The sequence below is a fragment of the Homo sapiens genome, chromosome 1 (assembly GCF_000001405.40).
Source record: "Homo sapiens chromosome 1, GRCh38.p14 Primary Assembly".
NCBI classification, from domain to species: Eukaryota; Metazoa; Chordata; class Mammalia; order Primates; family Hominidae; genus Homo; species Homo sapiens.
In genome coordinates, this window is record NC_000001.11 from 65,721,507 (window position 1) to 65,741,032 (window position 19,526).

The window sequence follows — 19,526 nt, forward strand, 5'->3', positions numbered from 1 at the left end:
TTTTTGGAGGAGATAATTTTAACACTAAATTTTGAGTCTAAAAACCTGTGTGGTAAAAAGGTAGTTTACCAAACACCATTCTATAAAATAATACCATTTTATAAATATAATTTTATAATACTACTCTTATAAATACCATATTATAAAAGAAGTTTTAGGAAATGCTTTCGGGTACTTAATGACTAATATATTGCATCTTCTACCGAGGAGAGCCTCTGAGTTTCGTGTCCTACATCCCATGGGAGGCCCCTACAGGGGCATGGAAAACCCATTGCATCTCATCACTGCTAACTGACAAATTAATTAAAGCTTATTTCCTGTCCATGAAAGCCAGTGGTCTTGCCATAAAAGGTGAGCTAGGAGATATTCATTTTTCATACTATAGCATATACATTTAAAGAAAGTGTGTGATTTATAGAAAGTAATGTATAAGAAATTACAGTTCATTCCCAAGAGGGTCACTCAAATTAGAAAGATCCATCCTAAAATCTAGGCGTATGGAGTTCCTCCACTTTAAAAATCATTTTCTTAACCCAAGAATGTAAGTAGGAGACTATCCTTTGATAACTATACTGAAAGAACAAATTTAAAGAAAATATGCAGATGTTTCAACGTTTAGAAACAGAAAACCACCACAGGAAATAATTAAATAGAAGCATAACTCCGGCCCAAGGACAAGTGTCATTTACCGGTGTAAGGTGAAATAGGAAAGAAAAGGGATGGTGCAGTGACTTTTTAATAATGCTATTTTTAAAAACAAGTAAATTCCAAGATGATAGATGATGTCTTTCTTACCTTTTTATTTTACTGGTATTTAGAAGACTTTTTTTAGTGAGATGATAATGATAGGAAATGGTGGTAATTGTTTATTTTCTAATTCTCCTCCTCTACAGAAAAAAAAGGCTGGTCTTATTATGTGGGCCTTCCTCTGCCTCATCCTAACTCTAAATGCATGTTTAACACCATAGCATCCCAAAGCCTGGGAGCCATGTGGGATCTGAGGATGGAGAAGACATGCATAAGTGAACAAGGTCCTTCTGATCTTTCAACACACTTAAGAAAAAAAAAATTTCTTACCTTGCCCCAAGAGGCCCCATATGGCTTTCCACCTGCCCACACTTTTTAGCCTCGTCTCTTCCCACTCTCCCATCTGCTCATTGAGCTCCGGCCGCACTGGCCTCCTTCCTCTCTCTTCAAGAGCCGCACATCCTTGCTTTGCCTCATGGCCTTTGTACCCGCTAGTCTGCTTGTTCTCTCTTCCTCATGGCTCTTCAGATGGCTGGCCTCTTCTCACCCTTCAGTACCCAGTGCCCTTGGCCATCCCATCTAAAGTGGCCCCCTTTCTCCTCCATTCACTTTCTAACATACCAGCTTATTTCCCTGATTTCACTAAGTACTAATTTTTATTATTTGTTTATTTCTAGCTTATTTGTTGCCTATCTCCTCCTGCTAGAATATAAGCTCCCAAACTGTAGAATGTTTATCTTTTTTGTTCTCTGTTGTATCCACTTTTCCAAGAACAGTGTTTGGCAATTGACAGTTATTTGATACAATTAATTGAAAAGAAAAAGTGCAGGTAGGGAGAAGAGAAGGGAAGGAAGGAAGAAAAGGAGAAAAGAAGGAAGTAAGGAAGAGGGGAGGGAAGGAGACTGTAGCAAGATTTTTTTTTTTTAAGTGAAATAAAAGTCAACTGATTTTGGCAATAGCATGAGTTTAAGAATATTTTGGTTATATCCTTATTTGATAATTATCTGTAACCTTCCTTAGAACGAAAATTTTGTAAGTACAAAAACCTTGTTGCTTTTCCACTATTGTATTTCCAATGTCTAAAATAGGGCCTGACACAAGGCACTAAATACATATTTGTTGAAGTAATGGATAAATGATGAGCTCCATTTAGGAAATAATGAGATATACTATTAAGAAGCAAGAATATTTTGAATGACAAGAAGTAATCTTTCTAGCATTTGAATTTGAAAATACGCGAAAAAGAAAACTATACATAATGCTAAATAAGGCCCAGCAAAAGCTTACATAGCAATGTTTAAAATAACCACAAATTGGCCAGGCATGGTGGCTCATGCCTGTAATCCTAGCACTTTGGGAGGCCAAGGCGGGTAGATCACCTGAGGTCAGGAGCTCAAGACTAGCCTGGCCAACATGGTGAAACCCCATCTCTACTAAAAATACAAAAAATTAGCTGGGCGTGGTGGCGGGCACCTGTAATCCCAGCTACTTGGGAGGCTAAGGCAAGAGAATCACTGGAACCTGGGAGGCTGAGATTGCATCACTGCACTCCAGCCTGAGCAACAAGAGCGAAACTCTGTCTCAAAAAAAAAAAAAAACCCACAAATTATTTCATAAAATTTGCTCAGATTACCTACTTGCCGCATACTGAACTAATAAAGAAAAGAATGCTCATTAGCACCAGTATGGCCCAGGTAATGTGCTTACCATTTTCACCTGTCACCTGTTTTACCTTACTGGATCCTCATAGCAACTAAATCACATCTGTTTTATAGATGTAATAGGGTGTCTTGGCTAGGCGAACACTCCTATAAAATACAATTAGGAATAGTCCTATAATGTCCAGGCAGGATCCAGAACACAGAAGCTCCTTGCACATGGAATTAGCCGATATGTCTCCCCTACTGTGTCCATTTACATACACTGATCCACACAGGGGCTGAGAAGCCTTCTGGGTGGAGGGCTTACACCTTCAAGTCACTGGATTTCAAGTACATATGAATGTGTTTGACAGACTCACATGACCCTGACAGATGGCAGCTTTTAGGGAACAACATGGAGCCTCTGAGAGTGGCATTGCTATGGCAAAGGAAGAATCTGGCATTATAAGCTACACCTAACCATATGGCTTGTTCTTCAGTGGGGCATGCTGGGTTCTTCTGGGGATCAGTCTGGTGCTGATAATGGAATCTTCTCTCACTCAGCCACTCTGCTGGAATGTTTGTACCCTGTGGAGAAACTGGCTGTATATTAGTCAGGGTTTCAGTTCTAGATCACACAAACTACTTTAAGCAGAAAGTGATTTAACACGGATGCTTACAAAGGTGATGGAAGGACCGGGGGACCTGGAATTAGCCTGAGCTTCTGGGAACAGTATTGAACAGTCCCTGAACAATACTGTAGATCCGGCCAGTTAAGGGTGTCATTCTCACACCATCACCACAACGTGGAGGAATCAGTAAGTTGCTGGAAGCAGAATACCCCACCTCATCCACAAGCCAAGGAGCCAGAAGATGCCACCACCACTGATGGCTCCAGTTCCACTCCATCTCAGCTATGATCCACGCTAGCAGAATGAATGCCCCATGCCCTGCCTCTTGACACCACAAAGCCAGGGACCGTGTCATCACCACTGCAGAAAATCCTTATGCTTCCATGATCATGATTGCCAGCAAAAATGACAAAAGCAGGAGATCAGCTTCCCTCACGTCACTCTTGTCTTCTACATCTTGGGTGGGTGTCTCTTCTTGGAGAAGCTAGGTCCCATACAGAATGTGAGCTGTGAAAGGGGTCCAAGAAATGTTATTTTTCATGTTTTACCCTCCAGAGTGCAGGGAACCAGTGTGCAATATCTGCTATAGCTTACATGTGTGAATTGAAAGTTATGTCTCTGGGTGCTGAAGCCCCTTAGAGCACAAGCAGTTTTGATGTGGGATGACTACAATAAACAGAAGGGGACTCAGATAATCTTGTGGGAACTTCCTCAGTGAAACACCCAAAGGAGAGTCTCTTCCGCATTTTTCAAGAATGACAACAGATATCTGGCAGAGAGGGACAGGGATAGCATTTCAGGTCCACTACAATCCAGGTATGTAGGTCTCTAACTCCACTAACATCTGAGCAGCAGAAAAAGAATGAGGACAACGGTCCCACTTGGGACAGAAACCGCAAGGAATTGTCAGTCCTGAAGCTTTGGGCTCTAAATTAAAGTTGATTCATTAATACATGTAAGCTCCCTTCGGGTCGTGTAGAGAACTGGGGACCTGGAATTGTCATTGTAACGTCAAAAAGAGGGGTTAAATTTCTCAAGATTACCATATTAATATACCTTGATTTGAACTCATGTGGGTCTTTTGGTTATGTTGGTGAAGATGATGAAACTTAGATCAAGTCATCACTTTGCCTACATAGGAGTGGACCTATAATTTGACTCTCTCCAAAGTGGATAGTATTTATATTGGGATACTTTTCACCAAAAGTGACAGAATATCATGCCTCATATTGTCTTACACAACAAGACATTTATTACTCCCCATAATGGGAAGTCTGGAGATGCCATGAGCAGGGTGGCAGGGCTCCAGCTCTCTTCTGACTCATTTAGCTCTTCCTCACTCTGATACTTCAGGTTGGAGACAAGATGGCTGCCCTGGTCAAGGCCTCAGGCCAAGCATGATGATGGCATTTTGAAGAAAGGTGTCACATTCACCTCTGGTTTTCCTAAGATGATGGAAATTCTTTTTTGTAAGTCCCCCGGCAGACTTTCTCTCATGTCTCATTCACTAGAACCAACCCCCTTCTCTAAGCCTATCCTTGGGAAAAGAAATAAGATGACTGTGGTTGGCTACACTAACTAGGATGCACCACTGTAGCTAGGAGTGGACTTGACTTCCCCTGAAGCACAAGGCAATGTGAAGAAGTGTGGTCACCTAAACAATATCAGTTATGCTAGAAAGGAGGACAATGAGGATAATGGAGGTTGGGTAGGCAAGGAATGATGCCAGCTTCGACCTCTCCATTAAATAGTTAACTATTTTCCTGGGGGAAAAATTATGAGAAAGTTACTTTTGTTAAGGTTGGGTGATACACTGAGGAATGAGGGAACACCCAAATGCCAGGGGAGAAGAGGCAAATTTAGAAAAGAGTGAGAGAGAAGATGGACTGTTTCAAAAGATGGAGCACAGAAGGGAATCTGTTGTACAATGGAAACAACAAAGGTGCTTGTACCATAGGTATGTACCCTGGTAAAGGTTTTTATGAGAAGGTCTTCTGAAGAAGAGGCAGGACACAAAGAATTCCACAGTTAAAGAGATCCAGGAGACCAGCTGGAGGAGTGTCTGACAAGAGAGCAGGAATAAAGTGACAGATGAGAAAAAGAAAGGAAAGAAAAGGATGAGGAGACCTGCTGGCCTGTAGTTAGTCAGTGCAAAGTGCTGTTGCTGGGATACCTGTTCAGGTGCTGCTGGGAATTACAGTCTCTGTCAGCTGGGTTCTGAAGAGAAGAAGTGGTTCTTAAGTAGCTGACACCCTTTGTGTCTCTGGTTATTAAAAATACAATTTAATGATGTGGGAATTCAGCAGAGCAGCAATTCTGAGGCTATCACCTTGCACTTACTACCTAGTAAGAGAAGTTTACCAAAAAAAAAAAAAAAAAAAAAGAAAGAAAAAAAGGAGAAGTTTACCACTTTTCTGTTTTCTCCTGGCTGACTTCGGAGCTGCAGAATCTGAGTGTGATCTGTCAAAGGGGTAGGAGCTCTAAATTAAAACGAACAGCACTATAGTTTTTCCTAAACCTTGCCCAGAAAGTCTTAGTTACTGAACCACAAACCAGTCACTGCTGTGGTCCTCTGGAATGCTTTCTAGGGATATCCCTGTACAGATGCTCTCCAGGAACCCTTTCAAACCTCAAATCTTTGTCTCCCCGATTCCTGTTATGTTGCATATAATGCTTAAGTTTGTAGTACCTGGCACCATTATGAATGAATATATGGTGATCTATGAATGGATATTTGAGCTTTACGGATATTTTATGATCTAGGTGCTATTTTATAAAATGTGGACACCTGGTGTTGGCATTTAAAAGAAGCTGACTTATGTAAGCATACTACTATAAAAAGGAGGGAAAAACTAGCCTTAGACAACAGCCCTCTTTTGGTGCTTACTTATCCAATCAAATTTTGACTCTTTGACTCTCACATATATGTCCCAACAGTTGTGGCCTGGTTGAGGTTGCATTATTTGTAAACTCTTTTGGCTCTGTATGTGGACTTGACATCTTGGTCCCATTCTTCACTCAAAATATTCTTCCAATTCCAGCTCCTATGGATTGCTATAAAGGAAATTTTCTGCAGCATCCCTGGACATGCTGGTGTTAGCTCCAAATCTCCTCAAAGAAGGATCAGGCAACTAGCATAAATCCAATCAGGAACATCTCTTTGCTCTTCAAGAGCTAAGCACTGAATGTGGCCATTTGATGTGTTATGCTGAATGTATTTTGAATGTGTTTAGAAGATTGAGCCACATGTTCCACTCATGAGCCTCAGCAGAAATCAAGGGAGAGGCTGATTTTCCTTTAGAAAATCAAGATTCCTTACCAGGAGAAGAAAGTATAGATATTGGGCATCAAGATTGATAGATGTCTACTGTAATCAGTCACATAGAAGTTTCAGGAATTTAATGGGTTCTCAGCCCAAAGTATTTACATTTCAACCCTGTGTAGTGATTTTCTACAAGGTTACGTTGCCTCGGCATCCATTTTAATAGGTTTAATTTTCTGATACCAGAAGTGAGCTTGGTCATCCTTGACATAATTTTCAGTTCTCTGCCTTTTCCCAGTTCCTTAATATGGTCAATCCAGATATCTGTCTTGCACAATCCCCTCCTGGTGACCACCTCCACATAGCACAGCTAGATGCAACCTACCGGACCTGCCCCACTGACCCCCACAACCCACATGGACTGCACAGACATGCTGCAGCAACCATCTCTCCCTCAAAGCATGACCCCATGGAATTTGTGCTGGCTTGCTCAAAATCCAGCAGTTAGAACTCCCCATGGAAAACCTGCATGGGTAATGCCCTGAACCACAGTAAAGACTTCAGTCCACAGGTCCCTCTTTCTCTCTCTTGCTCCCCACTCACTGGTTGAGTGTGTGTGTCCTGGACAGCTCCCCACTTTCCCTTGGCCCTGTGAGGCATGCTGCCCTCTTCTCTCTGATCTGCAAGTAATAAACTGCTTCTGTTATTTTACGCGTTTTGTTGAGTTGCCTCCTCTGGGTCTCAACTAGCCAACACATTTGAACTTAACATTTTTCTTCATCAGGGCTCTCCTAAAGAGTGGCTATCTGGTAGGAATAACCTGGACACAGATCAGACAAGAGTCACAAAGGTGTCATCAGTAAAAACAGGTTTTCTGTGAGAGGCACATTGCTCATGGGTCAGACGCTTAGGCATTTGGCTGGTCTGCCGCGATAAAGAAGAATCCTGTGAAAGGCTCATTGTAAGCATTCATGGCCAAATTCCTGGAGCCCCGTTAGGCAGGGCTACACTTTAGAGCCACTTTTGCAAAAGAGACCTCAAGACCAAATTAGAAAACAAAATACAACACCCTGAAATTAGATTTTTGAATATCGAAATAAAATTTCAGATTGTGGAGTCCAGGTTTTTTATACATCTTGAGAACCTCATCTTTCTTCTTGGTTATTTTAATTATGTATCTAATAAAGGCAGTAAAAATGACTTAAAATAAAAAATTATTTTACATTGTTTGGAATAGATCATTATTAACTTATTCCTAAATTATAGCATCTAAGAGAGTCTCTGCTGCACCTCATTACAAGATGCAAAAATACAGCAATTCCACAGTTGCTTTGTTGGAATAATTCCATAAAATGCAAAACACCATCAAAAGTACCAAAAAAAAAGGAGGCTAAAGATGTGAAGTTTAACATATAAAACAATCTTCTGAAGAGGAATGTGAAGCTCCTTGCACCATGTGATTAGGTATTAGCATATAACAGTATAAAAGGTCATACTTAACTGCAAAGAAATACTTTACTAATAATGGGGTATTGTTATGCAGAGATTGTATTTCTGATTAGAGAACAAATACCATATGTTCACCTGCTCCATGGGCATTCCAGTTTTGCATACCAGGCACGTACTCTGCTACATGCATGGCAGCACTCAATTTGGAAAGTGCTATGTTGCTTGACAACATCCCCAGATCTGCTCATTGGGAATTGAAGAGATTGCCAATCACACGTGGTCTTGACAATCATCCCATCTGCACATGCAGGAAACAACACTAATGGTCCTGTCATCCTTCCCCCCTCAAGTACTCAGGACAGACAATGCACTAGGGGATAATGAGGTCCATGATCTCAACCATTCCTGGTTCCTGCACCTGTATGTTTGCAGAGGCTCAAGGGGTTCCTCTGAAAGCTGAAGATCCAGAGGATAAAAATGATTCACAGATACATGCTTAGTTAATGAAGTAGAATCTCTTTGTTTATCTTGGATAAACACCTGGATATGAATCTGTGTCCAAGGCCTATATCACTTACTTTTATTGTTATTTGTGATTTTAGTTCTGCAGTTCTTTGAATACTAACAGCCTTCCTTCCTGGTATAGAGATCTTTCTGCTTTTTTCAAATCTTATGAAGGAGATAGGAGAGAGTATCAGTTGTGGTTGCTTATGCAGACAAGGTTAGGGGTGGGTATAATTAATTAGGATGCTTGGAAAGTTTGTGAGTTGCCAAAGTGATAAAATCTAAAGTACTGATGACACACTTTGGAGAGGATGGAGAAAGAGATCATGGAATTTTTGCATCATGGACATATTTTTCTCCTTTAGTCTATAAGAGTTTATATGTGCAATTCTTGGCACAAAGTAGGTGTTTAATAAATATATGTTGCATGTTGAATTAATAAAATATAAAAACATGATGAGGGCAGGATAATTTGATTTTCTAATTATGTCTGGGTAAAAATGATGGAGTGATGAAAAAGCATATAATTTCTTTCTAGTCCTTAATTGAATGAGAAAAGAAGTGTTCATTCAATAAGACAAATAAACAAATGCTAGCAAAAAATAATGACCAAGAACCTAACAGGAAAAAGGGAGCAATGGTTTATGGTATAAAATTTAAAAATATGTATGTAGCTCTGGAAAGAAAGAAAACTTCAGCTTTGCTGGCTCCAACTTCACAAAATTAGTTCTAGGGAAAGAAAATGTGTCAACCAAGTTCTGATAATTCTCTTTTTACCCTTCATTTGGAAAGAAAAGGACTTAGGAAGTGGTTTTCTAATTTATTCTCTTTAGTCCTGGATGGAGTAGAAGTAGTTTTGTGAAGAGAGAGGCAAGTGGGCAACCTTATCAACCAGCATTGACTGAGTCTGATGAAGCCTAAGTGCCAAAGCTCCATATGAAACAGCGGTAACAATACAAGGCCAAAGAGACCCGCACTGAAGAGGACATACCTCCTCCAGGCCAAGTAAATAACGCTAAGATTGTCAACCTGAAATAATTGAATATTAAAGCAATGCCAAGTGTGAGCTTCTATTGCAATGCAAAAGGGCATATTTTTCTATCTACTTTAGAGTGTTCTATGTTCCAATAAAATTCTTTGGGCTTTGTGCTAGTAAGAAATGTAACAAACCTGCATGTTCTGCATATGTATCCCAGAACTTAAAGTCAAATAATAAAAAAAAGAAATACCAATGAAAAATGACCCCCCCCCCCACTATTTAAAACTAGAAAATAATTTTACTTCTGCTAGGCTCATTTCTATCGGCACCACCTACCCCTTAAACACCTGCTTTTAACCATGTAACAAGATGCATTGTTATTTGTCCCTCTCTTCCTTTATGTTTATATAGAGTGGTTTTCACTTAAAATATCTGATGATTGCAGAGAGCAGCAAAAATATACTCAAAAGCATGGGGGAAATGATGGCTCTTTCTGTTCGTTTTTTCTCCCACAAATGATGCTCCATATAGTAGTTGGTTCATCCAGCAGGAAGAATGGCAGATGGAGTTTACTAATATATGAGTACATGAAATGGAAAAAAAAAAACAAATAAGCCACCAGGAAGAGGGCTTCCAGAAGAAACATTATGATAGGACATTTATTCAATAAATATGAGCTCAAACATATCTTATCCCTGGAAATCAAGTTAAAACACACAGCCTTGATATTCTTGCTATTTCTGAACCAGGTCCTGTCTAGCTTTCCTGAAGCTATCTAGACAGGACTAGGTTAGCATCTTTCCAGTACTGCAAAAAGCAAAACAAAACCAAACGTCAACAACAACAAAACCCTATGTTTTCTGTGTACTATTTAAACATTGTTGGCGGGCGTGGTGGCTCGCGCCTGTAATCCCTGCACTTTGGGAGGCCAAGGTGGGCGGATCACGAGGTCAGGAGATGGAGACCATCCTTGCTAACACGGTGAAACCCCGTCTCTATTAAACATACAAAAACAAAAATTAGCTGGGCGTGGTGGCGGGCACCTGTAATCTCAGCTACCCAGGAGGCTGAGGCAGGAGAATGGTGTGAACCCGGGAGGCGGAGCTTGCAGTGAGCCGAGATAGGGCCACTGCAGTCCGGCCTGGGCGAAAGAGCGAGACTCCATCTCAAAAAAAGAAAAAAAAATTGTTGAGACTTGATTCATTTGTTCAACAACTATTTAATAAGCTCTTACTTTGCGTCAGGTACTAAGTTAAACAAGAAAATATTTTAAATACGATCAACAAAGCACTCTGCACTCCGAATATTCAACTATATAAGACTGATTGGTCAGCGTTTTCTTGGCTCACCTTAGCAACAGAAGGCCACGCTGGCCTGACCTCAGGGGGCTGCATGCGGGAACTTGACTGGTATTCTCTCTCTCCCTTTTCTGTTCCCTGTTCTCCCTTTTGCTCCTCCTTTCTCTGTTTCCATCTTAATATCTCCTCTCTGTTTCTCTCTGCATATTAACTTTGTTCTCGCAAGCTACTTATTCTTACAAGCATACAACTGTAGCCACAGGGAGCTCTGGACTTGTATCCCTACATATTTGTTTCTGGAAAAGAAAGCAAGCTTCCAGCTTCAGTTAATTCCAAGGATCCTACTTGGCCTGAGGAGAAGCTCAACTTTGGATCAGGTGGTGGGTTACAACTATTAGCCCACTTGTGGTCATATGTCCACTCCTGTGGCCAGGAAGGTGGGGTCTGTTACAATTATATAAGCTAGCGAGAGGAGATAAGGAGTATAATGTTAGGTAAAGAATAGCTATTGCAAAGACCGCATGTCATTAGTGTGCTATTACAAAACATGCTATGAGAAAAACCATCTAAAATTATCCATTGTCTATTTAAAAGAACATACAATTTTAATTAAAAGAGTGCAAAGCATGCTATCAGAAAATCTAAACAGGAAGACATAAAATAGCTGAAAACAATTAAAAAAATACCTAACAAGGTATTTTCCTCTAATCATCAAGACTCAGCTTAAATGTCACTTCTCTGTTAAGTTTCTATCTGACCCTCAAGACTGTCTAGGTACTCCCTCTCATACAGTGCCAGTGTTTCTCCTCTCCCACACTTGCCACATGGAAATTCATTATTTGTTTAAAGTTTTTTCCTCTGGTAAGATTGTAACCTCCACGAGAGCAGGAACACATCTAGAGTCCAGCGTAATGCCTGACACACAGTAAACACTCAATAGATGTTATTTTAATGACTAAAATGAGGCAGTTTAAAACAATCAGATATAATTTTTACATTCTAAATTTGTAAGGATTTTTTAAACTGATAATTTTCAGTGCTATCTAGGATCATTAAAAAGGTAATTCTTACACACCACTGATAAAATTGTAAATTGATGCCACATTTCTAGAGGAAAATTTTGCAATTGGGACTGGAGCTCAAAATGTAAAATGTTCATAGCCTTTGAATTTTATTTAGAAACTTAAGGAAATAATCAGGCAGTTAGTTATACTCAAGGCTGTAGCTGCAAATGTCTCTTTTATAACTTTCTCCCTGTTTTCTTCTTTCTAACTACCTTCATCACCAGCTGTAAACCTCATGCAAGTAAAATATATTGGCTGTTATTTCTCCTTGCACAATTATTTAAAAACTGTGGCTCACCTCCTCTTACTCCTCAAAGTGTGATCTCCTGGCTCATCACCGATGTCTCCAGTACAGCTCTTGAATTAATTCTTAGTGATTTCAATATCTGAGTACATGATCCTTCCAAAATCCTGGCCTCTCAATTATTAAGCCTCTTTTCTCCAATGGTTTTCACCGCCGTCCTTTGAGATATCTACTTCCATGGTTTTCCTCTAGACTTTGTCATGCTGTTCACTACTGTAATCTTAGTTTTCAGAATTCCAACTCTCTAAGCAACACCCTCTGTCTTTAAGGTTCATTCCTTTTATAATATCCTTATAAAGACTGTTAAAGTACCCTAATTCTAACAATTCTTTCAGCCAACCAGGACTATGTTAGTCCATTTTGCATTGCAATAAAGGAATACCTGAGGCTGGGTAACTTATAAAGAGAAGAGGTTTATTTGGTTTGTGGTTCTGCAGTCTGTACAAGAAGCATGGCAACAGCATCTGCTTCTGGTGAAGCCTCAGGAAGCTTCCAATCATGGCGGAAGGTGGAGGGGGAGAAGGAATGTCACATGGTGAAAGAGGGAGCAAGAAAGGGGAAGAGGTGCCAGGTTCTGTTAGACAACCAGCTCTCATGTAAACTAACAGAGTCAGGACTCACTCATTATTATAGGGAGGGCACCAAGCCATTCATGAGGGACCTGTCTCCATGACTGAAACACCTCCCACTAGGCAACCCTACTCTAATAGTGGGGATCACATTTCAACATGAGATTTGGAGGGGACTAACATCCAAACTATATCAAGGACTTACAATCCACCCTGTCCTTCTCATTGTGCTAATTTTCTTCCTCACACCATTAGATTCTATGTGACTTCATTATAGTCATTCTCCTGTCCCTTTCTATCCTCATTGCACTCACATGGTCCAAATAAAATTCTGGTTAAAGCAACTTCTCTATTTATGTCTGCATCTAAGCTGCTGAATTTGCTGGTGGAAAATAAAAATCATGGTGACTGCTCTGTTTAAATTAATGATCTGCAACTGTAAGAGAAACCCTTATTATTTCCTGGTGACCCTGCTATTTTACCTTAGACTTTTTCCTTTCTCATCAGCTCTCTAAATCTCTAACATCTTCCCTTTCCTCTTCTCTCACATCTGATGCTCTTGATTTCTACTTCACAGAGAAAAATATAAGCAGTTGGAATGTACTTTCTACAATCGCTCCCCAACCATGTTTACCAGCCTACAGACACCTGTGCCTCCTCTGCTTATTTAAAACAAGCTTGTACACTATATCTCATCCTTTTCTGCTTACTCAAGGACATTGTTCCAGCAAATCTCTTCTCTCTCTCATGCATCATCAATTTTGTTTTATACTGGATCATTCCCACCCATATGGGACATTGTGCTATTTTTTTTTATTTTGAAAAAACCAGAAACCAAAACTGTCTCCACTTCTGCCATCAGCTACCAGCCTCCTTTTTCTGCTACCCTTTAGAGGAGATTCCTCAGAAGAGTTGTCTGTACTTGATTCTATTTTGCTTTGCATATTTTCTCTTGATTCCCTTCTAATTAGGTATTCATTTCTACCACTCTACAGAAACAGCTTTTGTCAAAATCATCAGTGATCTTTTTGTTTCCAGATCTAATGATCAATTATTAGTGCTCAGCCTATTTGAATTATCAGCAGCATTTGACATACGTAACCACTCCTTCCTGTATCACTTTCTTCACTTGGCTTTGAGACTGTCACTCACTCCGTCTCTTGTGGTTTTCTTCCTACCTACTGATCATGCATGTTTAGCCTCTTTTGCTGGTTACTCATGTCCCTGACTTAAATATTGGAATGCCCTGGGACTCCACCCATAGATCTTTTCTCCTTTCTATCTGTACTGCCTCCCTAGATGATTTTGTCTATTTATGTGGCCTTAAATACCATGCAAATGCTGATGACTTCTGAATTGTTTCCTCATGTCAGACCACTCCTCTGAACTCCAGGCTCATATATCCAATTCCTACTTGATCTCTCAGATGTTTACTTTGCATGTCAAACTTAATAGATCAAGTCCTGATCATCTGATCTCTCCATCTTGCTTGTCCTATAATCCTCCTTATCTCATTAATTGACAACTTCAATCTTTCAGCAGTCAAGGTTTAAATCTTAAAGTTACTACTAACTCTTCTCTTTCACTCATATTATCTATTAGCAAATTCTGTTGGCACTATCTTCAACGTCCAGAGTCTGACTGCTTCTCACTACTTTCCCTACTGTCTCTCTAGCTTAAGATACTTTCATCTCCCCAGATTGCTGCAAGACATCCTGGCTAGTCTCCCTGCTACCACCCTTATCTTATTTTAATCCTCTCAATACAGCATCACAGTGATCCTTGGAAAATGTAAGTCTGATAATTTCACTTCTCTACATAAAACTCTCCAGGGCTCCCATCTCCCTCAGATTGAAAATCAAAATTTTCATCAATGCCTATGATAATCTGGCAATCCATTAACTCTATGACCACATCTACCATTCACACACTTGCTCAGTCCACTCTAGCCACTCTGCTTCCTTGTTGTTCTTTGAACACTTAAGCAAAATTCTATCTTGGGACATTTGCATTGATACCACTTGGAATGCTTTTCTTCCAGATATGCATATAGATCACACCTTAACTCTTTTAGTTATCTGCTAAAATAGCACATCAAAATGAGACTTCATATTACCATTCTATTTAAATTATAACTTCTTTCCTGGCAATTCTCATTTCTATTCTCTGTCTTCTATCCTTCATTAGCCTTATATAACATATTTGCTTGTTGATTATGTGTCTTATTAGAATGTAAGCTTCAGGGCAGGAATTTTGTCTCTATCACCTGAAATACTGCCTATTGTATATTGGCACTCATACAGTGTTGTCAAATAAATAAATGAAATGCTTATCTATAAGATGAAAAATTAGGGACATTCTTAAATATCCAATAATATAATAATGTCTGAATAAGTCATGGCAAATGAATTATGTTTCTATATGATGAAACAAAAATATCCACCAAAATTAGCATTAAGAGAATATTTGATGAAAAGAAAATCCTTGAACTACCTGCAAAATGAAGGAAAATAAGATTGTAAATACATGCATAGTTAAAACTTGCATACGTGCATAATTTGGGAAATAATATAAATTATGTGTTTTCTATTATTTACTTTGCAAAAACATAAGAATGAAAGACTGGAAAGAAATAAGACAAAATAATAATAAATAGTGTCTCCTATTTAGTATTTCTGTCAATGAATTAGTCAATTCAATTAGAAAAGATAATTAAAGTAGCAAAAAAAATAAAGCAAAATTATCATTATTTACAAATTATATAATTATGCAAAACTAGAAAACCTAAGCAAACCAACTAAAAACCCAGTAGAAGCAAAAAAATTCAGTAAGACGATGGATTGAACAATTAGCAAAAATAAATAGCTTCTCAATGTACAAAAGATGATCAATATAAAATAATATGAAAGAATAGGTATGAACCGAAAGAAAGAGTATCTAGAAACAAACCGTGTAAGGAATGTGTAGAACCTCTATGAAGAAAATGTTTAAATTCTCTGAGAGATATAAAAGAACATGTAAGTAAACAAAGAACAAACAACATGCTATTATTTATTGATATGGTTTAGCTCTATGTCCCCACCCAAAAGTCATCTTGAATAGTAATCCCCGTGTGTCGAAGGAGAGACCTAGCGGGAAGGTGATTGGATCATGGGGGCAGTTTTCCGCATGCCGTTCTCCTGATAGTGAGTGAGTTCTCATGAGATCTGATGGTTTAAAATTGGCACTTCCCTCTTCACTCTCTCTCTGTCTCTCCTGCCACCATGTGAAGAAGGTCCTTGCTTCCCTTTCATCTTCTGTCATGATTGTAAGTTTCCTGAGGCCTCCCCAGTCATGCAGAACTATGAGTCAATCAAACCTCTTTCCTTTACAAATTACCCAGTCTCAGGGAAGTTTTTTATAGCAGCATGAAAATGAATGAATACAAGATATTGGTACCGGCAGAGTGGGGTACTGCTATAAAGATACATAAAAATGTGGAAACAACTCTGGAATGGGGTAATGGGTAGAGGTTGGAACAGTTTGGAGGGCTCAGAGGAAGACAGGCAGATGATGGAGGTTGAAACTTCCTAGAGACTTGTTGAATGGTTGTGACCAAAATACTGATAGTGATATGGACAATGAAGTCCAGGCTGAGGTAGTCTCAGAGGGAGATTAGGAACTTATTGGAAACTAGAGCAAAGGTCACTCTTGCTATGCTTTAGCAAAGAGACTGGTGGTGTTTTGTCCCTGCCCTAGAGATCTGTGGAACTTTGAATTTGAGAGAGATGATTTAGAGTATCTGGTAGAAGAAATTTCTAAGCAAAAAAGCATTGAAGATGTGACCTGATGGTTTCTAAAAGTGTATAGTCATATGCATTCACAAAGAAATTATCTGAATTTTGAACTTACATCTACTTATTATTACTGTTTTTTAAAATTTTTTATTATACTTTAAGTTTGGGGCTACAAGTGCAGAACATGCAGGTTTGTTACAAAGGTATACATGTGCCATGGTGGTTTGTTGCACTAATTGACCCATCATCTACGTTAGGTATTTTTCCTAATGCTATTCCTCCAGTTACCCCCCCACCCCCTGACAGTCCCCAGTGTGTGATGTTCCCCTCCCTGTGTCCATGTGTTCTCATGGTTACGCTTCCACTTATGAGTGAGAAAATGCGGTGTTTGGTTTTCTGTTCCTGTGTTAGTTTGCCAAGAATGATGGTTTCCAGCTTCATCCATGTCCCTGCAAAGGACATGAACTCATTCATTTTACGGCTGCAGAGTATTCCATGGTGTATATGTGCCACATTTTCTTTATCCAGTTTATCATTGATGGGCATTTGGGTTGGTTCCAAGTCTTTGTTATTGTGAATAGTGCTGCAATAAACATACGTGTGCATGTGTCTTTATAGTAGCATGATTTATAATCCTTTGGGTATATACCCAGTAATGGGATTGCTGGGTCAAATACCATTTCTGGTTCTAGATCCTTAAGGAATTGCCATACTGTCTTCCACAATGGTTGGACTAATTTACATTCCCACCAACCTTGTAAAAGAATTCGTATTTCTCCACATCGTCTCCAGCATCTGTTGTTTCCTTACTTTTTAATGATCGCCATTCTAACTGGCATGAGATGGTATCTCACTGTGGTTTTGATTTGCATTTCTGTAATGACCAGTGATGCTGCGCCTTTTTTCATATGTTTGTTGGCCACATAAGTGTCTTCTTTTGAGAAGTGTCTGTTCCTATCCTTTGCCCACTTTTTATTGGGGTTATTTGTTTTTTTCTTGTAAATTTGTTTAAGTCCCTTGTAGATTCTGGTTATTAGCCCTTTGTCAGTTGGATAGATTGCAAAGATTTTCTCCCATTCTGTATGTTGCCTGTTCACTCTGATGATGGTTTCTTTTGCTGTGCAGAAGCTCTTTAGTTTAATTAGATCCCATTTGTCAATTTTGGCTTTTGTTGCCATTGCTTTTGGTGTTTTAGTCATGAAGTCTTTGCCCATGCCTATGTCCTGAATGGTATTGGCTAGGTTTTCTTCTAGGGTTTTTATGCTTTTAGGTCTTACATTTAAGTCTATAATCCATTTTGAGTTAATTTTTGTATAAGGTGTAAAGAAGGGGTCTAGTTTCAGTTTTCTGCATATGGCTAGCCAACACCGTTTATTAAATAGAAAATTCTTTCCCCATTGCTTGTTTTTGTCAGGTTTGTCAAACAACAGATGGTTGTAGATGTGTGGTGTTATTTTTGAGGCCTCTGTTCTGTTCCATTTGTCTATATATCTGTTTTGGTACCAGTACCATGCTGTTTTGGTTACTGTAGCCTTTGGTATAGTTTGAAGTCAGGTAGTGTGATGCATCCAGCTTTATTCTTTTTGCTTAGCATTGTCTTGGTTATACGGGCTCTTTTTTGGTTCCATGTGAAATTTAAAGTATTTTTTTTCTAATTCTGTGAAGAAAGTCAATGGTAGCTTGATGGGAATATCATTGAATCTATGAATTACTTTGGGTAGTATGGCCCAATATTTTCATGATATTGATTCTTCCTATCCATGAGCGTGAAATGTTTTTCCATTTGTTTATGTTCTCCCTGATTTCCTTGAGCAGTTGTTTGTAGTTCTCCCTGAAGAGGTCCTTCACATCCCTTTTAAGTTGTATTCCTAGGTATTTTATTCTCTTTGTAGCAATTGTGAATGGGAGTTCATTCATGGTTTGGCTCTCTGTTGTCTACTATTGGTATGTAAAAATGCTTGTGATTTTTGCACATTGATTTTGTATCCTGAGACTTTGCTGAAGTTGCTTATCAGCTTAAGGAGTTTTTGGGCTGAGACGATGGGATTTTCTAAATATACAATCATGTCACCTGCAATCAGAGACCATTTGACTTCCTCTATTCCTATATTCCTATTTGAATCCCCTTCATTTCTTTCTTTCTTGTTTTTTTTTTTTGTTTTGTTTTGTTTTTTGAGATGGAGTCTCGCTCTGTCACCCAGGCTGGAGTGCAGTGGCACTCTCTTGGCTCACTGCAAGCTCCGCTTTCCGGGTTCACGCCATTCTCCTGCCTCAGCCTCCTGAGTGGCTGGGACTACAGGCGCTCGCCACCATGCCCAGCTAATTTTTTTTGTATTTTTTAGTAGAGATGGGGTTTCAGCGTATTAGCCAGGATGGTCTACATCTCCTGACCTCGTGATCCACCCCCCTCTGCCTCCCAAAGTGCTGGGATTACAGGCATGAGCCACTGCACCCAGCCGAATACCCTTTATTTCTTTCTCTTGGTTGGTTGCCCTGACCAGAGCTTCCAATACTATGTTGAATAGGAGTGGTGAGAGAGGGCATCCTTGACTTGTGCTGGTTTTCAAAGGTAATGCTTCCAGCTTTTGCCCATTCTGTATGATATTGGCTATGGGTTTGTCATAAATAGTTCTTATTATTTTGAGATATATCCCATCAATACCTAGTTTATTGAGAGTTTTTCGAATGAAGTGGTGTTGAATTTTACTGAAGGCCTTTTCTGCATCTATTGAGATAATCATGTGGTTTTTATCATTGGTTCTGTTTATGGGATGGATTATGTTTATTAATTTGCATATGTTGAACAAGCCTTGTATTCCAGGGATGAAGCCAACTTGATCATGGTGGATAACCTTTCTGATGTGCTGCTGGATTTGGTTTGCCAGTATTTTATTGAGGATTTTCTCATCAATGTTTGTCAGGGATATTGGCCTGAAATTTTCTTTTTTTGTTGTGTCTCTGCCAGGTTTTGGTATCAGGAAGATGCTGGCCTCATAAAATGAGTTAGGCCTCATAAAATGAGAAAAGGAGGCTTTTCTATTTTTTGGAATAGTTTCAGATGGAATCGTACCAGCTCCTCTTTGTACCTCCAGTAGAATTCGGCTGTGAATCTGTCTGGTCCTGGGCTTTTTTGGTTGGTAGGCCATTAATTACTGCTGCCATTTCAGAACTTGTTATTGGTCTATTCAGGGATTCGACTTCTTCCTGGTTTAATCTTGGTTGGGTGTATGTGTCCAGGAATTCATCCATTTCTTCTAGATTTTCTAGTTTATTTGTGTAGAGGTGTTTATTGTATTCTCTGA